The sequence below is a fragment of the Homo sapiens genome, chromosome 9, assembly GCF_000001405.40.
Source record: "Homo sapiens chromosome 9, GRCh38.p14 Primary Assembly".
Lineage (NCBI taxonomy): Eukaryota > Metazoa > Chordata > Mammalia > Primates > Hominidae > Homo > Homo sapiens.
Window position 1 is genome coordinate 89005728 of NC_000009.12, and position 22867 is coordinate 89028594.

Below are 22867 nucleotides of genomic sequence, written 5' to 3' on the forward strand. Positions count from 1 at the left end.
CTCTTTTGTGAGGCAATACAAAATCCATCATCCAAATGAAAGATACTTTTCACAACAGCCTTTATTGCCTGCAGACTTACATGTATAGTCCTTTAAACAATTAACTGTTTAGAAAATGGTTGTTTCTCTCAACCCTTGAGCCAGTTATTCCACGCTGGTAAGACCCTTTCACAGAAATGTAACAAGGTGCATTTTATAGAAAACATCTAATTAAATCACCAGTTTCATGCTTTTAAGTTGTATCTACAAGTGCAAAACTGCAACACCCAAATGTTTTTAGTATCTAAGTCAGATATCCAAAAGTTAGCTCCATAATCAGAAATGCGCACACCACTGTTCTGATAATAAAGGCACATTTTCCAATAACCAATTATAACAAGAAGTGCAGCATTACCTAAATTGGGTGTGTCATCTTCCCCTCCTGGGTCACAGGATGACACCTGGGGATGCGATGCCGTGCCTGCACTTGGCGATCCCAGGAGCACAGAAATGCACCAGACAGATCATGAAGGGCTAATGCTTGGAAACCACACCATTTCCTGACAGAGTGAAGGAATCCCTGTGGATTTATCAAAAGGGAGGAGGGAATTTAAGCTAATTCTCTTCACCTGCTGTATTCTCAAATCTCCAAAACACCAGATAACTTAGGTTTTTTCATTTGTCATAGAACAAAGATTAGAGAACTTGAAATTCGTTTTGCATTTCCACTCCTCAGGGATGTCAAAAAAGCCAGTTCTGTTCCAGCACAAAGTAGAAAGTGGTGAATTGGCAATACGCCAAGACATAGACTGTTACAGTAATTCTTTTTGTTTCACAAAAGTTAATGGAAACAAAACAACTTTCAGATAATATTCATTTGTCAGTATGTATAATTTGCCATCCAAATGCTTTTTAAAAAGTTATTATCTTATTATTACACATTAAATTTACATGGAGTTGTCTCCTAATCCTGGGATTTTAACACCAAATGTTTAATTCTGAATACAAAGAAACATTCACATACTTAATTTTACAATATTCTGGAACAAGTTATATTCAAAAGTCAAATGAACAGAGAACATTCCACTTGCAACCAACACATAGCTGTTAACAAAATTAACCCCATTAATATTTAAAGACGGATTTATCCATTAATGCCTGTTTTAATTGTCACTTGATTTTGATGGTTAGAAACTTTGGTTATGGTAAAAATGATCACATGAGTGGGAATTCATTACCTCAAAGCTCAGGACCACAGCTCCCCATGTGCATGTTTTTCTGTCTGCAGTATTTCAAGGTGAGACAACAAAATAGACACCTAAAATTGTATGAGATTTTATTCCTGGTGCTTTTTCAGCGAGAACCATTTTTCCAGACCTAGGGAAGGAGCCTGTGTGTTTTTGGCCTGAAGGATTCATCAATTCAGAGCATCTGTGACAGCCAGGAGGAGGAAAGAAGGGAGGCTGGGATCACCTCCCGCCCCTTCTAGCATCTCTACTGAGAGTGACAACTCCAGGCTGTCCACCCCCATCCTGAGCCTTCCACACTCTTCTCCGTGCCACTAACACTCAGTATCTGACGCCTGCAGTGCGAAGCCTCCAGAGTCCCCAGACTGACCTGGGCACTCCACCCTTGCTGGTTCTACTTTACTTGGACACACGGGTACCTTAAGGCTTGTCACACTCCAACACCTTTGTGTGTGTGTGTCTTTATTTCTTTCTAGGTTATAAACTCAGGCAGAGGCCTCATACATTCACTTCTCTATCCCACCATCCCAGTACAGGGCCAGCCACATATTAACTAATGCACAAATGAGGCCAAGAAACTGGCTAGAAATCCCAAGAAACTGTGCCAAGTATATGCAGCTGCACCTGGGAATACACGAAAGCATGACATCACGAGCACAGCCTCCTCCACCACACCTTCCCTTTCTCCTCCTTCCCTGCTGGCCTCAGACAGCTATGCATGGCTGCATGAAGGAAGATCTAAATCTGGACTTGTTTTATCCTCCCCTTCCCTTCTTCTCACCTTTATTCTGCCTCCACCTTCTTCTTTCTTTGTCTTCCCCCACTGGCTTCTCTGTCATTTCCCACAGTGGGTTCCCCCAATCCCTGTGGTCCTCATGTCCTGTTCTTGTTCTCTTTGTGCTGGATCTCACATCCTACAGCATCCAGGACCATCCTCCATGGCTGATGCCACAGCCTGCCAATTCCCAAATTCTTCACGTTTGTTTGACTTCCTACTTAGCTGTAAAACCAAAGCCCAGGGAGGAGTCCCAAGGTGCACAACACAGAGCCAATCTGCGTGTGTACAGAGATGCAGATCCGTTTTTAATCAATGTAAGTATATGCGTATATGTATATACATATGCAATTCACATTCACAAGTCCTGGTATAAAGTTGCAATTTTTCTGGCTGCTATAAAATGTGCCAGTTTTAAAACTGTGCATTTGTTGCTTGCAAACTTATAAATATGTATAAACCCCATTATAAATAAATTATGGCTGGCAGATGGCATTTAAGCTGCCAGCAATGGTTGCATGGAGTTATAAATGCTTATTAATTCTCCACTTTTAAATTCACAGCACGGACCCTGGGATCTGTGACATGAAGTGGTGTGAAAGCATAATTATAAATTAGAGGGGGGAAAGCCATCAATAAGAGACAGGTAAGGGCTGGAAACTCTCACTAGTGAGTGGTTCTCAAAGTCAAGACTTCAGAGCAGCTGCACCAGCATCACCTCGAGATTTTTTGAAATGCAAATTCCCGGGCCCCACTCCAGACCTAGGGAGTCAGGAACTTGGCGGGGCCAGGGGGGTGGAAGGGCCTGCAATCTTTGTCTGAACCAGCTCACAGGGTGGTTCTGATGCCTGCCTTCCACTCGAAGTCTGCTTGTCACGAACGCCTGTCTCAGCTCAGGGACATCCCCGGCTTAGGAAGTATGCTCAGGTGTGTGCAGGGCCAGTCAGAAATTGTTTCCAGAAACAGCCTTTCATAAGTGATAGACTTGGTGAATAAATACCCCAGCTGTCTCCCCGCCTTGCTGGGTGAACTCTGGGGTGTCAGCTCTGTCTCTCGGGGTTCCCCGGTGGGATTCAGCTCCAGTTGTGCACATGACGGTAACTTACTTGATAATGCACGCCTTCCCCGTCAGCTTCCTTCTCTCCCTACTTCCGGGATCTTCACTCAAATAAACTACATAACCTCAAGTCCTCTCTCAGGGTCTCCTTCTGGAGGAACCCCAACTAAGAGGAAGTAGAAACACTGTCTCTCCCATCTGAATGACTCAGGCTTTTATGCATTTTGAGATGGAGCACAGATGTAGAACCCCTGGAGGGAAGCACTGCTTGCCATTTCCGTGGGGCAGGGGGCTAGCTTTACGTGCAGGCCCAGGACTGTGAGTCCTGTGCTCTTTTCTAAGTTGATCCCCAGGCCCTTGCATGGCTCCAGTTTCCTCTTCTGAAAAGCAGGGCCCCCTACTGGGCTGTCTTACCAAGCTCCCTTCCCTGTGATCCTGTGTGGAGCTGACAGTTCTAGGTTGGCACTATGTCCAGGAGTGGGTTTGTCCTCTTCATCTTTCTTAGAGCCAGCTTTGAAAGTTCCATGGGAGAACCTGAGTATTACTCTGAAACCCACTGCAAGGTCTGTCTGAGTCCTGCAATGACCTCTTTGCAATCTTTCCACAATCTTCCCACTCACTCCCAATCCTACTGTCACCGTCCACAGAAAGGGATTTATGGACAGCACACAAAGTTGGGCCAGCGAGAGAGAACCAATGGGCACGCTGGGAATGCACAATTTTAGAAAATCATTGCGCTTATATGTTTCATATATTTGTCAATCCCCAGCACGCCCTCAAGCTGGGAACATGTATAGCCCTGCAGTGTAGAGCACGCCAAGGCTCAGAGAAATCCAGCAACCCGCCTGAGTCCACGCCGTTCTGGGTGTGCCAGGGTGGAGGCTGGATGGAGGTATCTACTCGTGGCCCGCATTGCCTCTGCCCTGGAAAGGCCTATAGTCCGAGGCTTCTGCCCAGCTCAGCCCAACAGAAAAGAAATGTGTGACTGCCTTCAGGTAGCAGCCAGTTTGGAGGAAATGAGGACCCAGACGTCCATCTTCAAGCATTGCTTATAGAAAGAAGCTACCCAAGTGTCGGACGCTACTGAAAAGGAAAGCTTTATTTTGGGAGCTGGGGGCCACCTTCAGAATCCCAGCACCAGACATGGAGGTTGGGCTGGACACACATGTCCACTGTTCCCCTGGCACATGGGCCCTTTAGGGTCCACCCTTCCCTAGGCCTGTCCTTCCTTTTAAGTTAGGACTTTACCTACACACACGGCTTGTCATTTCCCGTCTTTATTAGAAATTACCCACAACTTCCTCCACCTCCAGGAGGCCCTAAAGAAGGCCATATATGGCCCAATCAGGCCTTTGTCCATTATCCCAACATCATAGATGGCCTGACAAAATAGCTGCTCGCTCATCAAGGCTGAGCGGACGCCCAGTCTTTGGGTGCTTCAAATATAAAAAACAGCAACAGTGGTGTCTTAAGCACAGGATTAAAGATTGAGTCATTTGACTGCGGTGTTTTTCACCTCCCCACCCGATTCTCCGGTTAGCTACTCAGAGGCAGCCTTGGAGGTCAAGAATCAAAGCTGACTTAAACCACAATGAGCACCCCCATGAGAGGCCCAGCCGGCCTCCGTGGGACAGAGATGTCATTTGAAGCACAGCTGATTCATTCGTGGGGTTAGGGGAGGTGGGTGGGGGTCTCTAGGGCCACTCGGTAAGGGCAGAGGGGCCGTTTTAGGACTGCTGGCCCCCACCTTGTACTCCCAGAAGACATAGAGTTTGGGGTTAAGTGTTGGGGGTGCCCATTGGAGGGACAGCAGGGCCCAGGTGCACTCTGCAGGACCAGGGTGGCCCAGCACAGCAGCAGCGACTGTGCCCTGGAAGCCTGAGGCCCTGGAACGCAAGGCCTAATGCCATTCCCGCTGCGTTCATTGTTCAGCTTCCCTGCCCTGCCCAGGCAGAGATGTGGCCTGAGAAAGTGTGGGGAAGAGGGGCCCAGGCTAGACAGGGAGGAGCCTCCATTGCTTTTGCCTTGGAATCCTGAGCTCAAAGCACAGGCTGGCACACAGCAGGGCTCACGAAATGCTGAGTGAGCAGAAGAGCTCTGCAGCCAGATGACAACATGGCCTCCAGGAAGGTGTGGCACCAGCCCCAGCCTCACTTTCCCCATGTGTCTGTGAGGCTCACAGGAATGGCCCACCACACAGTGCTGGAGGGAAGAGTTGGGATAACTAATGTGTGCTCTAACCCACTTTACAAATGGGAGGGAACAAAGATTAGAAAATCGCTGCCATCTGCTATGTCTGAAGCCTGCTCACTTCACTGGCACTATTCTAGTGTAACCAATATATAATCTGAGCTTAAAAATGTATATTTTGAATTAATATTAAAAAGAAAAAATTCGACTCCAATACTTTAAATTTTCTAAATTGATTCTCATGCAAAAAATATATATATTTTCTATCACCATCGAACTAGACACTGACTTCACAGCAAGAGCTACTAAAGCTGCAGGTTACCATTCAAGTCCCCCCAAGAGAAAAATAAAGTAAATCAAATGTTACAGCATTCACAGCTCCTAACTTGCATTTCCTACTTTGCTATTGTCCCTGAATGTTATAATAGCATTTTGACCTTTCACAAGTGGGGAATGCATGAATGTAGAAAGAAGGTCATTTCGCACATTTTTCTATGTGGTGCACATTCATGCACAGGTGGGTCAGAGCTGTGTGTGTCTCTCCAGGGCTCCCAGCCTCCCAGAGGACAGATGTGCAGGGCAGCTCTCAGAGCACCCAAGTCTATGCTGTCTTGGGGCAGGAGCCTGATGCAGCTGCTGCCAGCAACCCCGTGGAGCCGTCTGCTTCTGGATCACTAAGCAGAGTATCCACATGATGCCTGAAGCCAAAACCATTTCAGAAAACAGCAGTGCAGTCTACAGTAGTGTCAGACTCTCCAGAGTTTCAATCCACTGCAGAACATTCTAGAACACTGACTTCACTGTCATCTCAAATTCACTGGACCCTCAAAGGCAAAGACTCCCTAGAAGGCCATGTATGAAGGCTGGGGCCTGCCCTGACTCATCCTCACTGGTTAGCTCTAACCTGTCCTTCCATCTGGCCACACGCACACCCCAAGGCAGAAATGGGGCTCATACCATTGGCATTAGAACTTAGCAGTATTATTATCTGCCAGATTTTTCAGTCTCCTCATAACTCTCCTTACAGGATCAGATTTATCACTATCCAACTCTAAGCGTGTTTAGTGTGTCTTTCTGTTCTGCTGACCCATACCCTACAGGGTGCTGTACCCTGTGGGGTCTCACCAGAACAAGAGCCACGCTGCCAGCAAGCAAATGGATCCATCTATTCTTTAAAGGGCATCTGTGAAAATCACAGGGCAATCTCAGCCCAGATAGTATTTGAAAGGTATAAACATTGCCAGCTTTCTAACACCAAATGACTCCTCAGGAAATGACAGTATTTTACCTGGAAGAAAGGGAGTCAAGACAAAGAGTGGGGGCAGGCACATGCTCTTCCCTGCAGCAACGGAGAAACCTTGTTGTTGGGACAGCAGGCCTTTCCCCCATCCCTCATGCCAGAGGCAGTACCTCAAATGGATTCCAGTGACTCCTGGGTTTCTGGCACATGCAGCCCCAGAAGCCTCAATACCTGAGTCTTCGGGACTGAGCTCTGGGATGGGTGCCTGCTCTTGCTGTCACACAGGCTTCTCCCCTATTGTATAAGGCGGGCGGGGGACTTTACTAGCAATTACCATAAGCAGCCTGTAGTCAACCGCTGACTAGAGGGAGACACAAACCAGGAATTTGCCCCGACCACCCTTCTACAAATACCCATTTTAGCATTAGATACATGAGAACAGGGAAGCACTTGTCAATCAAAATCTTGGTTGGTGAAGCTTATTTTGTGCCATTTTGGCATGAAATGAATTCCCAAGTACTCCTCGCACAACTGGGGTCAAGGGTGGCGGGGCCCTGTGCTCAGCAGGACCCGGAGAAGCTGGAGTGCCACCTGTTCTTTAGTGAAGCTGCAGCGAGTTGTGTAGACACCCCAGGCACGTGGAGTGCAGTGCAGGGAGCACAGGAGGTGTCCCAGGGAGGCCAAGGGAGGATGCCCGCTCCCACCAGCAAGCACAGCCATGCCTCAGAACCAGTATCTCATAGCTTTCAGTGCAGGGCTAGGCATGCTCTGAGCAGCATGCCTTGCGATTCCCTCACAATTCTGTGTTTCTATTCCCCTCCAGTTGTGCTTATTAGGTAAAACTGCAGGCTACACCTTCCTAGTGGCATTTCCCGGTGGGATGGGTCAGTTGAATTAAATTTTTGCCTGGACAACTACAGTTAAACTTATTTTTTTTTTTCATTAAAAACATACAGCACAGAACATTAGTCTTACATCTTTCTTAGTCTTAAAAAATATAAATATAGAGGGATAATTTGTACAGGATGTATAGGTATGTACACCTTTAATATGCATATGAGAAATTCAGAACCAAGTTTATGAAACTTGACCTTAAAGGAAGCCTTCCTTTTGAAGCTTTTGAAGAAGGCTCTGAGCCACAGGCAGCTGTCCCAGTTCCAGCAGCCCCGATTCTAGTCCACTCCAGGTCCTCCTGACCTGGTGCGCAGTGCTGGGAGCAGTGCTGGCCAGGTCACTGCTTCCTCTCCACTGGCTGCTGGAGACACAGCTCACTCCCTGCAGAGACAATGGGCAGGCTGCTTTCTAGGTGGTGGTTGATGAGGTGGCTGATACTGTCAAAGACTCTGTCCTTTGTCCGGATCTATGAATGAAGCAAAGGAAAGGTTAAGCACATCTCACAGGCAGCAAAAAGAGAAAATGGTTTGCTCAGAATCAGCCAGACCATCTGAACTGGCCCAGAAGGAAAGGAGGGGGGGACAAGGGGCTTCCACCACTTTAGAGATGCTGTCTGCAAAGAGCAATGGCCAATCCATTTCATTGGTTGGGCTCACCTCCAAACTACCTGAAGACCTTTCAGTAACCATAAGCCCAGGCCCCTAGGACTCAGTTCTGGAATGTCCCAGCCCACTGTCCTATAGGCATGGCCTCCTCCACCTTCACCAACCAAGGTCACCTCACCTGTCTCTCCTGCTCCCTCCCTGGCCCTCTCAGGATAGCCCTGAACTGGGCTCTGCAGGCTCCCATGACCCTCCCACCTCTAGGCCTTTGCATGGACATCTCCCGGCCCAGAATTAGTGTCTTCCACCTGAGCCTGGCCCTACCTCAATGCCAGCACCTCCAGGCAGCCTTCCTTCCTCTCCAGACATCCTGGGCACCCACCAGGGGCAAGCCTCACAGTTCCCCAGAGGAGCTCCTGTTGCCCCTGCAGTCCCCCACTGGAGAGTGAGCCAGGCTGGGTCAGAGGTACAGGCTCCGTGTTCCTGGGCTTTCAATTCTACAGCCTGCCCATAAACTTTTAATGCCATGTCAGGGGAGAGGAGGTTGAACACTCTGCCCTGCTTGCTGGCCTGCACTGTGGTCCCTGGGGTCCATCAGCCGCCTCCACTCTGAGCCGGCACATTCACAGATATCACTCACACTTGAAAAAGGTGGAGTGGGGCCTGTCAGGAGCAATTTTTCGAGGAGGTCTGGACACAATCTCCTGGGAGTTGCATGTTTGATAAGTGGGAGATGGGGGCAGAAAGCAGCCACCTGGCTAGGTCCATTCACCCTCACAGGCCACCCTCGCGGCTATGCTCGAGGGTCAGCTGAATTCCCTGGCTTTGCTCTCCAGCCTTAGCAGTGGTCTCCTCTCCATCAGTGTGTGCAGATGAGTTTCCAGGAGCCCATCCTTTCATGGGACACCCAGCTCTCCTCGCCCTCCTGCAGGGACTCCTGAGGCAATGTTCATTCTCCTGTTTTCCCCAATATTCTCTTTTCCCCAAATTCTCATTGTGACTCCTGCTTCCACTAATGTGGCCACTCTTGCCCCTCCCTCTCCATCAACCTACCAAAGAAACATCAGCCTCTGGACTTTCAACCCCCATCCTGCTCCCATCCCAAATCTATACTTCAGGTGTGCATATTGGAAATCCCCACCCAAGGTGCTCTGAGAAGTTCATACCATCTGCTCATGGCTCTACCAATTAGCACCTGAAGGAACAGAAAAACTTTGAAATTAGAATGTTTTCCCCCTGCAGGAACCCTCTCCCCCCATCTCTGTAAGCACCAGAGGGAGAAGAGCTCTCAGGACCAGAGGGTCTCCTGATTGTTGGGCACTAAGCCTCACTAAGGATGTAACCTGTTGGGCAAGTTCAAAAGGAAGCTTTTTGCAAGACTTCCCAGCATCTTTCTACTGAGGTTGTTTAATTCTCTTGGGGCTCCTCAGCATTCCTGCCCCAGAAAGACCCCCTGAGTAACTCAAGAAGCATACTTATTTGGAAGCCAGGGGCACCCAGGAACTCAACTTGAGACCAGTATTGGGGTGTTGCCTTAACATTGACTCCTTATTCTCATTCCTTAACGACTGACACTCACGTAAGTTCTGGGTGAACTGGAATGGGTGAAGAGTGATTTAGGGCAGGGAAGTGTCTGAGACAATAGTCTCAATGTGGTCTCACCTCCAATACTCCTGAGGACCTTTTAGTAGCCACAGCCCAGGCCCCAGGCCAATTCCATAAGGAGCTCAGGGTGGGGCCTGGACACCAAGTGTCTTAGGCTCCTCCAGTGATTCCAACATGCTGCCAAAGCTGAGAACCACCAGTTAGCATATTTCAGTATACAGGCTGGCCAACATAAACACACATATATGTATTTACTGACTAAGGAAATAGAGAGGCTAGTTCACTTCATTACCGTAAATACTCAAGTCTGGCTTCTGCCCAGAGAACTTATAGCCAGCAGAACTCTCTGTGTGGACCCACCCGTTATGCACTAGAAATTCTGATGGCTGATTAAAACCACTGGGCAGCCAGGACAAACTTAGACTCCAGACACACCTGCAAGGATTCTGCCACAGTGAAGACACATGGAATGTTAACCCCAGACAACTGGTTGAGGCTGTGCATCGTAAAGAGGAAATAAAAATCAAGATGAAAGCCTTCATTCTAGTCAGGCTACAGAAGAGACTAAAATGTGCATATACTAGAAATTAAGAAAAGTCTAAAATTAATCATCTAAGCTTCCACCTTAGGAAACTAGAAAAAGAAGAACAAATTAATCTAAAGTAAGCAGGAGGAAAGAAATAATAGATAAAAATTAGGGCAGAAATCAATAAATTGAAAACAGCAAATCAGTAGAAAAAATAAATGAAACCAAAAGCTTGTTCTTTGAAAATATCAATAAAATTGATAAACCTCTAGCCAGGCTAAGAAAAAAAGATGATAAGGCCCAAAAAACCTCTAGCCAGGCTAAGAAAAAAAGATTATAAGACCCAAATTATCAATATAAGAAAGAAAAGAGGGGACCCCACAACAGATCCCAAGAACATTAAGAAGACAATAAAGAAATACAGGAATAACGGAATTCAACTTTGTGACCAGTTTATCAGGATCTTATTTGCATTTGGTTTACAATATTCCCAACATATGATAGGTTTATTGGGATGTAAGCTCATCCTAGGTTGAGGAACATCTGTATTATGGATGGCTCTATGCTCATAAATTTGATAATCTAAATTAAAAAATTCCTTGAAAGACACAACTTGCCAAAACTCACACAAGAAGAAATAAACAATCAGAATAGGCATATATGTATTAAAGAAATTGAACCAATAATTAATAACCTTCTGAAACAGAAAACACAAGGCCTAGATGGGTTCACTAGTGAATTCCATCAAGCATTTAAGGAATAATTTATTTCAATTCCCTACAATCTTTCTCAGAAGATAGAATCAGAGAACATAATTCCTCATTCTATGAAGCCAGCATTACCTGAATACCAAATCCAAACAAAGACATTAAAAGAAAACTATAGTGCAATATCTCTTATGAACATAGATGCAAAAATGCTCAACAAATATTGGCAAATTGAACCCAACAATGTATAAAAAGAATTATACACCACAACCAAGTGGAATTTATTTCAGGTATGCGAAGTTGGTCCAATATTCAGAAATCAATTGCTTTTATCCATCATGTTAAAGAAGAAAAATCACATGATCATATCAATGGATGCAGACAAAGCATTTGACAAAATCCAACAAATCTTACCAAGAGATTTTTTCTTTTAAAAAAAGGTCTTTTTTTCCCACAAACAATGGAAACACATTCCATGCTCATGGATAGGAAGAATCGATATCGTGAAAATGGCCATCCTGTCCAAAGTAATTTATAGATTCAATGCTATCCCCATCAAGCTACCATTGACTTTCTTCATAGAATTAGAAAAAACTACTTTAAATTTCATATGGAACCAAAAAAGAGCCCACATAGCCAAGACAATTGTAAGCAGAAAGAACAAAGCTGGAGGCATCATACTACCTGACTTCAAATTATACTACAAGGCTACAGTAACCAAAACAGCACGGTACTAGTACTGAAACAGATATATAAACCAATGGAACAGAACAGAGGCCTCAGAAATAACACCACACATCTACAACCATCTGATCTTTGACAAACCTGACAGAAACATGCAATGGGGAAAGGATTCACTATTTAATAAATGGTGTTGGGAAAACTGGTTAGCCCTATGCAGAAAACAGAAACTGGACCCCTTTCTTACATCTTATATAAAAATTAACTCAAGATGAATTAAAGACTTAAATGTAAGACCTAAAACCATAAAAACCCTAGAAGAAAACCTAGGCAATACATTCAGGACAAAGGCATGGGCAAAGACTTCATGACTAAAATACAAAAAGCAATGGCAACAAAAGCCAAAATTGACAAATGGGATCTAATTAAACAAAAGAGCTTCTGCACAGCAAAAGAAACTATCATCAGAGTGAACAGGCAACCTACAGAATGGGAGAAAATTTTTGCAATCTACCCATCTGACAAAGGGCTAATATCCAGAATCTACAAAGAACTTAAACAAAGTTACATGAAAAAAACAACCCCATCAAAAAGTGGCCAAAGGATATGAACAGACACTTTTCAAAAGAAGACATTTATTTAGCCAACAAACGTATGAAAAGAAGCTCATCATCAGTGGTGATTACAGAAATGCAAATCAAAACCACGAGATACTATCTCACGCCAGTTAGAGTGGTGATCATTAAAAAGTCAGGAAACAACAGATGCTGGAGAGGATGTGGAAAAATAGGAACACTTTTACACTGTTGGTGGGAGTGTAAATTAGTTCAAACATTGTGGAAGACAGTGTGGTGATTCCTCAAAGATCTAGAACCAGAAATACCATTTGACCCAGCAATTCCATTACTGGGTATATACCCAAAGGATTTTAAATCATTCTACTAAAAAGACCCATGCACACGTGCGTTTATTGCAGCACTGTTCACATTAGCAAAGACTTGGAACCAACCCAAATGCTCATCAATGATAGACTGGGTAAAGAAAATGTGGCATATACACCATGGAATACTATGCAGCCATAAAAAAAAGGATGAGTTCATGTCCTTTGCAGGGACATGGATGAAGCTGGAAACCATCATTCTCAGCAAACTAACACAGGAACAGAAAACCAAACACCACATGCCCTCACTCATAAGTGGGAATTGAACAATGAGAACACATGGACACAGGGAGGGGAACATCACACACCAGGGCCTGTCAGGGGGTGGGGGGCTAGGGATAGCATTAGGAGAAATACCTAATGTAGATGATGGGTTGATGAGCACAGCAAACCACCATGGCACGTGTATGCCTATGCAACAAACCTGCATGTTCTGCACAGATATCCCAGAACTTAAACTGTAATTTAAAAATGTTATTTAAAAAAAACTCTTGATAAAGTAGTTTTTTTTTCTTTCTTTCTTTCTTTCTTTTTTTTTTTTAAAGAAAACCCTCTTGATAAAGTAGGAGAGGAAATTCCTCAACTTGATAAAGAATATCTATGGGCTGGGCATGGTGGCTCATACCTGTAATCCCAGCACTTTGGGAGGCCAAGGCAGGCGGATCATTTGAGGTCAGGAGTTTAAGATCAGCCTGGCCAACACAGTGTAACCCCATCTCTACCAACAAAAATTCAAAAATTAGCCGGACGTCATGGTGGGTACCTGTAATCCCAGCTACTCGGAAGGCTGAGGCAGGAAAGTCGCTTGAACCTGGGAGATGGAGGCTGCGGTGAACTGAGATCATGCCACTGCACTCCAGCCTGAGCGACAGAGCAAGACTCTGTCTCAGAGAAAAAAAAAAAAAAAGAATATCTACAAAAAAACCCTACAGCTAACATTATATCTGATACTGAGGAACTCAAAGATCAAGAACAAGACAAGGATATTCCCTCTCACCACTCCATTTCAATATCGTACTGGAAGTCCTAATATTCCAAAGAAAACCTATAGAATTTCTTTTTTGATTTCATTTTTGTAAACCATTATTGCTAAAAATGTGTTGCCATTTTTAGGTAGAAGTCTCTAAGGTTTCACAGCAGCTTAATTAATATATGCCTCTTCTCTAAGCTGGGGAAGAAGTGCACACTTGACTCTGTGTGGCCTGTGGTCAGAAGGCCTCACCTACAGTGTCCAAAAGTAAGACAGTAAGATAGAAAAGAAAAAAAAGGCATACTGATTGGGAAGTAAAAAATGAAACTGCCTTTGTTCACAGATGGCATGATTGTCTAGAAGAAAACCTGAAAGAATAAAAAAAATCTCCTTGAACTAATTGTGATTATAGTAAGGTTGCAGGACATAAGGTAAATATACAAAAGTTAATCACTTTCCTATATATCAGGAATGAACACGTGGAATTTAAAATTTAAAATGCCATACCATTTACATTGGCACCCCTGAAAATGAAATAGGTATAAATCTAACAAAATACCTATGAGATCTACATGAGGAAAACTACAAAAGTCCAATAAAAGAAATCAAAGAAGAACTAAATAAATGAAGAGATATTTCATATTTATGGATAGGAATACTCAATATTGTCAAGGTGTCAGTTCTTTGCAATATTTATTAAATAATATCAAATACAGTCTATTTAAAAACAAAAATAATAAATGAATATTCAGCTTGAGAGCACTGGGTGGGACTCGGTTTTCAGGGAGAGAAGCTGGAGGAAGTGAGGTTTTACAAAGAAACGAAAGCAACATCTACTCCTAAAACAAGGGCACTTTGGAGCCTCTGGAATGGTTCATAGTAAGGAATTACTTCTTTGATTTGATTTTTGTAGACCTTTACTGTTAAAAATGTGTATTGTTTTTAGGTAGAGATCCCCAAGGTTTCACAGCAGCTTAATTAAAATATGCTTCTTCCCTAGGCTAGGGCAGAAATGCACACTCAGCTCTGTGTGGCCTGTGGTCAGCAGGCATCACCCCCAGTGCCCAAAAGTAAGGAGAGTGGGGGTCAGGTTAAGGGGTGAAAGAGGGAGAGGTGACAGGGGGTTGGAAGGTGGAAGATAGGAAGGGTGGGGGTGAGAGGTGAAGGTGGAGGGTGAGAGGCAGCAGGGCAGGGAGGTGGGGTGCCAGTTGTGGGGCAGGCTCCTTTGTGCCACATTGTGGGTGTGGGGGCCTCTGTGGTCTGTGGACAACAGCAGGTCTGACTTGTCATATTCATCCTTCCCTCTGGGCCTCCTTCAGGTCCCCAGGTGGTTGGTGGGAAGGTGAGGGCTCCTCCTCTGGCTGTGACGTACGTCCATGTCAAAGCAGGACAAAACAGGGACAGTTTCTGGTGCCAGGATCTAGGGGGACACTAAACTATCACCAGCAACAGAATGAGACAGATAAATCATCCTTACCGAAGCTCTTGCAGGGGCTGGCACAAAACCGCCCTCATGTGCAGTAGGAGATGCAGGCCCAGGAGGAGAGCAAAATGGGCAGGCCAACCTCAGTATGTGGGTGTTGTGAGTGGAATGTACAGGCATAGGGGAGGGGACACAGGTGAGTCCCCCTCACCAACTCTCCATGTCTCCTCCATCAGCAGTGACTAAGCTGGGCACAAATGTCTGTTTGCAGGGTTGTGTGTCTGGGTGGAGCTCTGCCACTGGGTGCGGTACCTTGGTGATCCTCCAAAGTGCCCAGTGGTGGAAGGATGCAGGGGAGAGCCTCCTGCCCTATGGTGGCACACATGGGCCTCATGAGGACACTCAGGGCTTGGGGAGGTGCCCAGGGGAGCTGTAGGGATCTGCTGAGCTGCAGCCCCAGTTTGACCTCACAGGGACATTTCGCACTGAGCTTCAGCGCCCACACAGGAGATGCCCGCCAGTTGCACCAGCCTTCTGGAACACTAATATTCTAGCAGAATCAGGTTTGAAACTTTTGTTCCAACTGTATGGAAAGTACACTCGTGTTAGTATTGACTATCATCACTGCCAATTCTACCTTAAAAATGATTTTTCAGGAGCTCTGCAGCTGGATAGAGGGGTAGTCTCCTTCTGCCTCAGGGAAAAGCCCAGGCTACCTTGGGAACTGTGCCATCTCCATGAAACCTCCAGGACAGCATTTGATGAGTCACTGCTCCAGAAACCACAAAGAAGTCTTCACTCAGCTGCCAGAGTAGGGAGGCCAACACCACCGCACTCAATGTCCCCACAGCCATGACCTCAGTGACCAAAGACAGCACCAGATCGGCTCACAGAGTGGAAGGCCTAGGCCCAGGTCACCTCTGGGAAAGCACAGCTGACCCACAAAACTAACCTGAAACCTGTGTAAAAACCCACAAACCAGAAGCAAAGCAGAGAGAGAGAAGGAAGTACCGCAGGAAAGTGAGCAGTGGCTCTCCCTGAACCCTGCCTGGATGCCAGGGCTCACCTGCCTTGGGCCATCCCAGGTGAGGCTCCTCTGTCCTGCACCAGGTGGAAACTGAGGGTTTCCAGCACCCCTCGGGGCCAGTAGAACACAGTGCTAGGAATCGGAACCTTGAGAGATGGAGGGCTACTTCCGCATTGCCTGTTGTTGCCCTCTAAGACGTTTCTTTTTTAGCCATGGAAAAACTCTGTCACACACAGCCCTACCTGGATACCCAGGATATATGACTTGGGAATAAAATGGGAGGAGGTCGGCCCTGGAGCATTCTCAGGACTCTGCCTGCCCCTGGGGGCTTCCAGAGCAAGACTACGGGGTGGTCTTTCCCACTCAGAACTTGTAAGTCACACGACTTGCCCGAGCCAGAGGTGACTGAATGGGCTGCGTAATTTCCATATTTCCTTTGTAGCGAACAAAGGCACAATGTCAATGAGAGAAGTCAGCTGGTCCTCCAGCAAACAGAACTGAGGCCTCAGTTCATTTTGCTGAGCAGGGAACTCCGCCCCACCCCACATCCCAACAGGGCTGGACCATGATCTTAGCCAAGACCCAGGGCAGGAACCTGAAGAGCCTCGGGCACTATTTAAACACTTTGGCGGTCCTGTCGGGGCTCCAGGAGCCTAGAAGGAGATTCAAGGACACTTCAGTGCAGGAAGGGAGGGTTGGGGGAGGGGGGAAATTCCTACAGTGGGGAAAGCTCAGACCTCCCACTTCCTTCTTCAAAGCCTGCTCCACCAGTCTGGCCACCGTCACCTGTGGCTTTGCGGCGGGATAGGTAGTCAAGGAAGTTTTTGGGACGTGGCAACCGTGGGACGTACAGTCAACACAATAAGCCTCAGCATTCACACTGTAGTCCAGCTAATTCAAGCACAGCTATCTTCAGTAAGGAATTTCCCCCTCTAGAGAGCATGCGCACTTTAATTTTAGTTGTCCTCAGAATGACCCTTTGCTCATCATAATAGCAAAAAAACACAACCCTGGGTGGAGATTTAAGATGCTAATGAGATGTGACTTATGAACAAGCATGTACAGCTACTGCGCATGTGCACCCAGAGGACCATCCGAACATGCTTATAGCAACACCTCCTTATGAAAAATCATGAAAGCCTCCCATAAAGGGAGTCTCCCCTAGTGCCCGTCTTTAAAATAAGTGCCTAGTGCACTTATTTTAAGTGCATCTTATTTATTTATGGATTTGTCTCATCCTTACCCCGAAGCCTGCCCTGAATTCTCTTACGGTGTACTGTCTATTCTGCACCTAACTTTCAAAATATTCTTTCTCCTTTGTAATAAATTGCACTATTTTGCACCTCCCTTGCTGTGTTGTCTTTTGCTCAAATTCTTCTAAATCAAGAAGACAAGAACTGAGGTCTCACAACAACCATAAACAGCTTGGAAGGTTTTTCCAGGCATGTGATGGGTTTGAGTGAGTCAGCCACCCCTGGCCTTGCCTTCTTTGGAAGGGAGGGCAGGCGCAGGCTTCCTCTATGAGAAGCGAACACTCAGGGAGAGAGGTCAGCCTGGGGCCTCAGGCCCACCCTGATCTTAGCATGAGAGCTGATTGCCCTTCAGGAGTCAGCAGCCCAGAATAAACTCTGAGGCCAGCTTGATAAGCCTTATCAACAAGGTCTCTTTGAGTTGCTTACAATATTTTTAATCATCTGAGAAAGTCTCAGAGTAGAAGAAAATCAGATCCCACAGATCAAAGCTGCCAGCAGCTCAGTGGGAAGGAATCAAGCTCCATGCATTCAGAAAGGCTGGGTTTATTTAGGCCCAAGGATGCTTGGGAGCCTGAGAAGCAACTCAGAAGTGTGGGAAATTAAAATCGTTAAGAAATATGCAGCATATTCTGATTTCCCAAATCTGCCATTGAGGCCATAACCAATCTTACTGTTTCTCTTCTCTGCCACAACCTCCAGAAAACTGCTTGGCTTGGGGGAGGTGGAACTTCTTCCTGGCTACTTCTTTTACCATCTATTCTTACATACTTTCCAGAAATTCAGTAGAAATTAATTTTTCAAATTTTATTCATCCAAGCATCTAGATGATCCACTTCTGTGTTTAACTGGCCATAGACAGCAGAACAGAATCAGAAGGTATGACCACATAGAGAAAAACCACTGGTCAAGATATCACAAGTCATCAGTTCAAATCCTGTTTCTACTGCTAATGTGCTCTGTTTGCCTGACAAGTTACCTAACATATCCTTCCTCATTTTTAAAAGGGTCTGTTGCCTAGACCTGTGGTTCCCAACTCTAGCCCCTGAAGGGCTTGTGAAAGTTCAGACTACTGCCTCATCTCCATCCCACACATCCAGGCCCCATTCCGAGTTCCTGACTCAGCAGATCTGGGGTGGGAGCTGAGGATCTCGTTTCTAAGCAAGCTCTCTGATGCTGAAGCTGCTAGATTAATGGCTGGCCTAGAACAGCAGCTCCAGCTGTGGGTGTGATTCGTAAGTTACCTGTAATGCAACAATGCCTTCCCAGTTCACTCAGCCCCCTCTCATGGTCCAATCAGAAACAAACAGCCCCTCTCAGGATGCTCCCCTGATGTGTAAAGGGCATGGTCATCCCAAGCCATTACCCTTGAAGCCCTTTCTCTCCTGGGTGCACAAGCAGCATCCTGTGCATCTTATTTATTTATGGATTTGTTTATTTTTATTTATTTATTTAGAAACAGGGTTTCATTCTGTCACCCAGGCTGGAGTGCAATGGTACGATCATAGTTCACTACAGCCTCAAACCCCTGGGCTCAAGCCATCCTCCTGCCTCAGCCTCCTGAGTAGCTGGGACTACAGGTGCACTCCACCACTCCCTGTGTGCGTTATTAAATACTGCCTGTCCTGCTCAGTCCAGTGCAGTGACAAGTGAGGAGAAGACAGTTTTGAGCACCTGCCACAACTTGGCCTGCCACCTGCTAATGACACTCCTTATAGGAAGTTACTGACCTCTCTGTAAGATGGCTATCGCGAGTCCTGCTTCACAGGACCGTTTTCAGAATGAAAGGATTAATACAAGTGAAGTAGTTAGTACAGTGCGTGGCATCAAGGACATGCTGGGGAACATTTGCTATTCCTATTTTCTTACCCACACTGCACAGTTTAACCTTACACTGGAGGTGATGGCATCCCAGAAGGATTCTGAGCAGGGAATGGACATCAGCAGAGCCTCCTGCAGGGTGGGCTGGGGCTGTCACTGGGAGTCCAGGTGGGTCAGGAGGAAGAGGCAGCTTACAGGGATATTTAGGGGAGTTTGTTCAGCATCTGAATGCAGAGTATGAGAAGAGAGGTGTGGTGTGGCGGGGAACCCAGGAGGGGCAGCTGGGGCTGAGGAGGTGGGGACAACACCTTCCACTGCAGACGCCATGGGCTTCAATTGCCTGGGAAACGTGTAAGTGGAGTTGCCCTGTGGGCAGTTAGAAATACTGGTTAAAATTTTTCCATTAATGACGACACTCCATCAATGACAAAATGATTACATCTGCCCCTTATAAAGGGTCACATTCCTAGAAGAGGCAAAGCCGTCAGATGGGGACATCTTGTGATTAAAACATGAGTTATCCTGGAACAGGTCACACACACACACACACACGTACGCACACACACATACACACACACACAGGGGCTGACCTTTGCCCACTTTCTCACTTCTGCTGGATCCACTGAGAGACCCCACCCCACCTCCAGGCTTGTAGGCTCATGCCTGGATCCAGCCTAACCCAGGTGTGATGTAGACCTGTCCCAGACACAGACATGCTGCCCAAGCCTCTCCTACATTTGAAATTAAGACGTGATCCAGGTCCATCCCAAACCTGAAGGCTGAGCCACAGAGCTGGGCCCACATCAGCCCCCAGGCCTGCAATGTGTAAACTAAAAATAAAATTTGAAGCCTCCCAACCATCAGAATGAACACATCCTCTCAGCCAAGGCCATTCCAAAGTTAACCTGAAAAACTAGGTCAGGCCATGATGGGAAGTGGGGGTCAGACATGCCTCATTATATCTTCCTCCCTTTGGAATTCAGGCACAACTGACCAGCAGTAACATTTAAACAGAGACCTTAAGACTTCTGTAGCAATAAGACACCCAATTCCAGCCTGACTCTAGCATAGCATCACATGACAGATAGCAGGCCCTGAAAGAGATTAAAGTATTTTACCCTAAAATATGTGTCCTTGGCAATATGTCTTTGGCATATTTTGAAATGGCCCTGCAAAGCTGTCTCTTGTGGGGAAAATCTGTATTCTGTAGAGAATCCCTTTCCCTTTCCAGGTCTTTTCCTTTATCCAGGAGAGAATTAAGTAAGAGTCTGGTACCTTTTTAAGTCTGATGAGAAACATTGGCTGGGCACAGTGGCTCACGCCTGTAATCCCAGCACTTTGGGAGGCCAAGGCAGGCGGACCACCTGAGGTCAGGAGTTCGAGACCAGCCTGGCCAACATGGTGAAACCTCATCTCTACTAAAAATACACACACACACCCCAAATTAGCTGGGCGTGGTGGTGCATGCCTGTAATCCAGCTGCTCAGGAGGCTGAGGCAGAAGAATGGCTTGAACCCAGGAGGTGGAGGTTGCAGTGAGCTGAGATTGCGCCACTGTACTCTAGCCTGGGTGACAAGAGTGAAACTACATCTCAAAAAAAAAAAAAAAAAAAACAAGAAAAGAAAAAGAAACATCTACAGTCTTTTCTCTCTGAAGCCTGCTACCTGGAGGTTTCATCTGCATGGTAAAACCTTGGTCTCCACAACCCCTTATCTTAACCCAGACATTCCCTTCTAATGATTCCAGGTCTTTAGATAAACTCTTTCAACCAATTGCCAATCAGAAAATCTTTGAATCCACCTACAACCTAGAAGCCCCCTACTTCACATTGTCCCGCCTTTCTAGACCAAACCAATGTACATCTTACATGTACGGATTAATATCTTATGTATAAAATCAAGCTGTAGCTTGACCACCCTGGGCACATGTTCTCAGGATCTCCTGGGGCTGTGTCACTGGCATGTCCTTAACTTTGGCTAAATAAACCTCTGAAATGATTGAGATTTGCCTCAGATATTTTTTGGTTTACAAATGCCAAGAGCCCAGCTTGGAACCCTGTCCGCCCAGGGCTTACATGCCCACAAGCAACCCCTTTGCCTGGGCGAGCACTCACTTTCCACCTGAGGAGTGAGCCTGACCTTGAATCCCTGCACACCTGGGCCCTTGGACAAGTCCTCTCTTTCATGCTCCTGTGGTTTTCTGGACTAGCCTTGTCCAGGGAAAGGAGGAGACTCCTGGTCTTCCCTGGCCCTATTGCTTCTGGATCTCACTTCCTTTTCTAGTTCCGAGCTACTGAGAAGCCCCTTGTCATCTCCAAGGTTGCCCAAGAGTCAGCAAAGTCTGTTCTTGACAATAGAAATGAAAAAATGGTAGAGAACTGACCGTGGTGACCAAACAGGAAATGTGTAGGAAATTGTTCCCAGTCAGGATTTCTTCAGAGCCTGGTCAGAGAAGAGCAGAGAAGCTGTGGACACAGCTCTGAGTTCCCCTGGGGCTAGACGCATTGTCCTGGTCATTTGTGTATTTACACAGAAAAGAGAGGAAACTTCCTTACCAGTTATTAAGTGAGCATGATGCTAAAATTTACCTGTGTGTTTTCATTTCTTTAATTTTGCTTGATTTTGAAGTTTTTGACAGTAGACAACTAGTGATGGGTGAAATTCTGATTTTTTTTTTTTGAGACTGAGTCTCGCTGTCGCCCAGGCTGGAGTGCAGTGGCACGATCTCGGCTCACTGCAGGCTGTGCCCCCCGGGTTCACGCCATTCTGCCTCAGCCTCCCGAGTAGCTGGGACTACAGGCACCTGCCACCTCACCCGGCTAATTTTTTGTATTTTTAGTAGAAACGGGGTTTCACCATGTTAGCCAGGATGGTCACAATCCCCTGACCTCGTGATCCGCCCGCCTAGGCCTCCCAAAGTGCTGGGATTACAGGCATAAGCCATAAGCCACTGTGCCCGGCCAAAATGCTGATTTTTCATAGCAGTTAGGATGAGTACAGGAATTGCCCTATCCCACCTTCTCCGAACCCAGAAAAAGGACAGTGCAGGAATTAACAACTTCTAAAAACAAAAGGGAAGGAGGCAGTGATCTCAACACATTACAGACTAACAGAAAAGATGGAAGTATATTGAAGGATAAAAGAGAGTGAGGAGGAGGGCAGCCTAGAATGCATGGCAGGGGAGTCTTGCAGTGGAGGAGAGGGACCCTTGCAACAGTGGGAAGGAGGGCAGCCAGGCTGCAGAAAGACCACTCCTCAGTAACTGAGCCTGCAGCTCCCGCTGCTCCCAACTCCTTACAGACAAACTAGCATTTTGCCTTTGGGGAAGAAGTCTAGGGAACATTAATCCAAAGAAATTAAACATGCTGCCTGGGGAGAATTAAGGCAGTAGGAGGAGGATGGTGACCCTAAGTGAAGAACTCTTGGGAGGCACCCAGGCTAAAAGTCCAAGCCCCCTCCCCTTCTCAACCTAAAGTCTAAACTTCAGATGACAAAACCACGCCCACACATGTCATTCCCTCTATCCTCTGCCCACATCACCTCCACACACACAATTCACACATAATCTCAGTCAGTCTTCTGATACTGGGGACAGACTAGAGGGAAAGAGAGCTATATGTATCACAGCAGAAGAGAACAACCCCAGGAAAATCCATCCAGCCTCTTGTTCTGAAATCTCATGGTGTAAGAATGCCAGACATCTTAAAAACACCAGTACCATGAAGAGAAAGATCATGATGAGCAAACCAACACCTGCCTCAGAAGATAATTTGGAAAACAGAAAAAAAAGTTAAACAATTTATATTAATAGATATAGATTATATCTATATAGATATAGATTAATATAGATTATATCTATATAGATATAGATTAATATAGATTATATCTAGATATATATCTAATCTAGATATAGATATATATTACACACATGTTT

General features: G+C 46.0%; 2 protein-coding genes across 2 annotated transcripts in view; one reads left to right on the top strand and one right to left on the bottom strand.

The window, feature by feature from the left end:
• Window positions 1–43: 43 nt before the first annotated feature.
• Window positions 44–22867, bottom strand: part of SHC3 (SHC adaptor protein 3) — a 173048-nt gene continuing 150224 nt past the window's right edge. Inside the window, exon 12 of the mRNA NM_016848.6 lies at window positions 44–7848. Coding sequence (NP_058544.3) covers window positions 7720–7848 — 129 coding nt within the window. The 3' untranslated portion in view covers window positions 44–7719. The remainder of the gene's footprint in view (window positions 7849–22867) is intronic.
• Window positions 1791–2450, top strand: LOC124902206 (uncharacterized). Its single transcript, XM_047424308.1, has one exon. It carries the CDS (start codon window positions 1791–1793, stop codon window positions 2448–2450), a length of 660 nt encoding a protein of 219 aa, XP_047280264.1.